At 40.9% G+C, this 5280-nt stretch overlaps 1 annotated feature.

Moving 5' to 3' along the window:
• Positions 3729-4264: an enhancer, noted in NCBI's record as "OCT4 hESC enhancer chr3:70976354-70976889 (GRCh37/hg19 assembly coordinates)". NCBI's record gives its function as "activates a minimal SCP1, AML or CMV promoter by ChIP-STARR-seq in primed H9 embryonic stem cells {active_cell/tissue: H9 hESC(primed)}" and the evidence as "EXISTENCE:reporter gene assay evidence [ECO:0000049][PMID:30033119]".

Below are 5280 nucleotides of genomic sequence, written 5' to 3' on the forward strand. Positions count from 1 at the left end.
TTTCTTTATAAATTACCCAGTCTTGTGTATGTCTTTATTAACAGTATGAGAATGGACTAATACACATGGTTAAAACCAATCACTCAACCACCAAACACTCTGGGAGCTTTTAATATCCACCTAGAAGCAGGAAGGCCAAGAATAGAGAAGGGACATGATGTAGCTTCCCACTTACAACATTTTTCAACAAGGCAAAAAAACACAAATAACTGAACAAACCATTAATATGTGGTCCTTGTGCTTGGAGAAGGCTGATAATTTTGAGAGTTTATCACATACTTAGCACTGGACCAACTCTGGTAGGTGAATTGTCTCATGGAATTCTCCCATCAGTTCTGGAGATTTTAATCTTCATTTCCTTCAATTCAGAAAACTGGTACCAAGAAGTCCTATAATGCAGTCGAGGCTACCCAGCCAGTGAAGGGATTAAGGTCAAACAAGTGATGGGAAAAGCCAGTGATGCTAGCCTAGGTTGGAATATGGTCAGTACTCTCAACAGGGTGAGATTCCTGCAAGTGGAGGAACATTGGCACAAGAAGCACAGTCTCAGTTGGGTTCCACAGCATGGGTAGGATTGAGCTTTGGTAGGGCAGAAAGAAACAGTATTCTAGAAGTAAGGAAAATAGCAAATGCTGAGAAGTGGGAAAGATGGAGCTGTGTTGAGGCCTAGGTCTAAATATAATGGGCATCAGAGGGAAAAGCTGCAGGGAATGTTGAGAACACATTTTCCATGGCCATGGGGTACGGGATGTAAAAGTGGGATTTTATTCTGAGTAGTAAGTGTGTCTTCAATAGAAACAAGTCTTTGGCAAAAGGCGGACCCTGCTAGTGCTGATGTCCCTCTTCCCTTCCCTCACATCCACCTTGAGCTTCTTCCCAAGAATCCATGCAGATTTGATTGGATCTCAGCACATTGCCTGGTTAGCATCCCAGCACTGCCATTTAACCTTGGATGGAATGACATCTCGTGAACATTTGGTACAAAAGATGGCTCATATAGGCAGAAGGTGACTCAGGCCAACATCAGCCTTGCACATCCTTCAGAAGGTACCTCCCAATAGGGCCTGCCATTTTCTCCCAAGTATGCCCAAGGTGGCCAGTTTTTCTCACTATCTTGGAACAGATCACCACTTTTTTGCTAGAGTGCATGATGAAGTCTTTCAATGTTTTAGGAACCTGGTGTTTGGAAAATGTGAACCTTTTAACATCAGAATCACACTTATTTTGGCAGCAGGCTGAAGCATGAGACAGTGGCACCTGGGAACAGAGTCTGACTGAGGCAACAGTGCTTTTTCTCCCACTTCCTGCTTGCTCTGGGGCCGACCCTCCTAGTCTGCAGTAGTAAGCAGGAAAGCCCATACTATGAAATTCTTTCTCTCTTTTGTTGCCAGGCACACAGGGCTTGATTCCAGTCATTTCGACGAGTTTATGATTTGGCTCCACTTTGCATGTGCTCTCTTATTTAATTCTCACAACAACTGTAGGCACGGGGAAACATTAACAACTTTATTTTATTTATTTTATGTATTTTGACATAGTCTTTCTCTGTCACCCAGATTGGAGTGCAGTGGCATGATCTCAGCTCACTGCAACCTCTGCTTCCTGGGTTTAAGCAATTTTCCCACCTCAGCCTCCCGAGTGGCTGGGACTACAGGTGTGCACCACCACACCCAGCTAATTTTTGTATTTTTGATAGAGTCGGGGTTTCACCATGTTGGCCCGGCTGGTCTTGAACTTCTGACCTCAAGTGATCCACCTGCCTCAGCCTCCCAAAGTGCTGGGATTACAGGCATGAACCACAGCATAGCCAACAACCTTATTTTAAAGATGTAGAAACTGAGGCCTAGAGAATTTAAGGAACAAACAACAATGGCTTGTAAGTGTTGGAGGTGGAATTTGAACCCAGGTTCTAGGGCTCTTGGCACAACTAGTCCTTTATCCTTGGGATAGGTGCTTAACCTCTCGGAGGCACTATATTGTGGTCTGTAAAATGATCATAGAACCATCTCATAGGGAAGACCTACGGAATAAAGACACCACTCTTCATCATCATGGTAACTTCCACAGATTAACTATGGTTGTCATCTTCATGTATCTGGAAGGGAAACACAAATGACATATTTTTTGAGGCACTGTTCCCACCGTCCACGAGATCTAGGCTAACCGAGACAAGACAAACATGGAAGGTATAAACCAATGGCACATATGATTAAGTACCCAGAGAAGCCATTCAGCAAAAAGCAATCAGGTGTCTCAAGGAGGAGCGCTCTACAGGCCAGTCACAGTAGACAGAGTGACGGTTATTTTGGATCTTGATGTGAAGGCAAGAATGGGTGTCCAGATGCAGAGAGGGATGGTAGAAAAAACCATGGGCAAAAGTTTGGATCCAGGAAATGACCTGGTATATCCAGTTAACTAGAAGAGTCTAAAGATTTTATTGTCAAATTGTTTATGACACTGAAAAAATGTGAAACAGTAGGGAAGTCAATGAAATGACTATGACCTATCCACAGAATAATATAAGATATAGCCTTAAGATAAGGTAGATTTCTTTTTTTTTTTTTTTTTTTTTTTTTTGAGACGGAGTCTAGCTCTGTGTCCCAGGCTGTAGTACTGTGGTGCAATTTCGGCTAACTGCAACCTCCGCCTCATGGGTTCAAGCAATTCTGCTGCCACAGCCTCCCTAGTAGCTGGGATTACAGGCATGTGCTACCATGCCCTGCTAATTTTTGTATTACTAGAGAGACAGGGTTTTGCCGTGTTGGCCAGGCTGGTCTCAAATTCCTAACCTCAAATGATTCACCCATCTTGGCCTCCCAAACTCCTGGGATTACAGGCATGAGCCACCACACTTGGCCGGTAGATTTTTAATATACATATGTAGGACAAAGACTTCCCTGCTTTCCAGGACAAGGTTAAACTTTCTTTCATGAGCACCCACAGTTTCTTGTACCTCTCTTCTGTAGCACTCCTCACATTTGTTGATTAATTATAGTGTGATTATTTGGATAATGCCTGTATCTTTCCCAATTAGACCTATAAGTACCATGGAATTAGGAACCACAACCACAGACCTTTAGGTTAATAATTATATTCCCATCCTCCAGCCTAATGCCTGGTACATAATGAGTACTTCTTCAAATTTGTTCCAGTTAAGGCCAGGCCTCACACCTGTAGTCCCAGCTACTCAGGAGACATAGGCAGGAGGATCGCCTGAGCCCAGGAGTTCAAGGCTGCAGTGAGCTACCATCATGCCATTGCGCTCCTGCCTGGGTGACGGAGCAACACGCTGTCTCTAAAATAATGTTTAAAACTTGTTCAAATTTTTTGCACATATACATAAATGAAAGAATAAATGAATCTATGTTACATATGCAAGTAAAAATTTACTAATTATCAGTAATATTTAGTTAGGATGACAAGTCCAATCTACTGGTTGTGCCTGTGAAGGGTCTCAGCCGTTGTTCAAGTTTAGGGAGGAAACAAAGTCTTGCGGGAGGAATGCCTGCCATTGTCATCCCTAGCCCGTGTGACAGCTCACTGCCATGTTAGGTGTCAGCCAACGTATTATATATAAATTATGTGTGTAAGAGTATGACATGATGAATGACTTACCTAGAATATTATTCACCACGTTTTTACAGTGACTTTTCTTGGGTGATTTTTACTTTAGATTTTCTTGGTTGCTTTAATTTTCCGAGTGTCTGTGACCTTGATGACTAAGAAAAAAATTGGGCTATTTTCCTTTTCGAGGGCTTAACTGCCTCTCCCCTCCTCTGGTTGGGTCCCTGCTACACCTCCTTTCCCCTTCTCCTCCTACTCCAACCCCTGCTCTATCTGGGAGGATTTTGTTCCCCACAGAGGCACAGAGACCAGCACTGCCTCCACCTCCATTCTCCAACCTCCTTGCTAAGAGGGGGTAATCATCACTTCTCTTAGGAAAGTGAGAGTGACTCCCTACCTGGATGGGCAATAGGGAACAACCACCTCATGAATATGCATTGGATTCCGACAGGCTTTCAGCGGCAGGATGGCAGAGCTGCTTTGACGCCCGCCATGACAGAGGGAAGGAAGCAGAAAATTCAAATACAGTAGTTTGTGGAGCAGAAGGATGCCCAGAGCCAACAGGCTAGAAGAAATTAAAGGTTCACTGACATTCCACTCAACCAAAGGCCTTCTTTATTCTAAGGAGGGAATAGCTATCTACAAAGAACTTGTCTTGTGACTATTCATTTCTGCCATTACCACCGGCACAGTAGAGGCCTAAGGCAGCACACAACATCACCTAGAATGTCACTGATTCCTCCTTTAGGGCAGCAGTACAAGCCCAGAGTGTCTGACTGAGAGTTCCCAGAGCTGCCCACTATATTAGAGTTCTCCAGAGAACCAGAACAAATATGAGAGATGCACAGACGATCCCCAACTTAGGATGGTTTGGCTCACAATTTTTTGACTTACATGGTGCAAAAACAACATACATTCAGTAGAAACTCTGATTCGAGTATCTGTATGATCATTCTGGTTTTGACTTTCAGCATGGTATTCAATAAATTACATGAGATACTCAACAGCTTATTATAAATTGGATTTTGTGTTAGATGATTTTGCCCAACTTCAGGTTAGTATGAGTGATCTGAGCATGTTTAAGGGAGGTTAGGCTCAGCTATGAAGGTGATGCTCAGTAGGTTCAGATATATTTTGAGATGGGTTAAGAGACTCTTTGTGTTTAATATTAAATGCATTTTTGACTGATGATATTTTCAACTTGTGATGGGTTTAACAGGACCTAACTGTGTTATAAATTGAAGTGTATCCATATATCATATATATAATATATACACACACATATATAATATTCTAATATATATACATGTATAGAATATTCTATTATACATGTATATTATGTAATATATGAGAATATATATTATATTATATATTCATATATAATTCATTATAATCATAGATATATATGAATATATAAATTCATATCTAATATATATCCGATATATGAATATAATCATATATCCGATATATGGATATAATCATATATCCGATATATGGATATAATCATATATCCGATATATGGATATAATCATATATCGGATATATGATTATATCCATATATCGGATATATGAATGCATCATACATCGGATATATGATTATATATCATACCTCTGATATATGATTATATATCATACCTCTGATATATGATTATATATCATACCTCTGATATATGAATATATAATATATGCTATATATCTATTTTTCATACACACAGA

This window comes from Homo sapiens, chromosome 3 (assembly GCF_000001405.40).
Source record: "Homo sapiens chromosome 3, GRCh38.p14 Primary Assembly".
NCBI classification, from domain to species: Eukaryota; Metazoa; Chordata; class Mammalia; order Primates; family Hominidae; genus Homo; species Homo sapiens.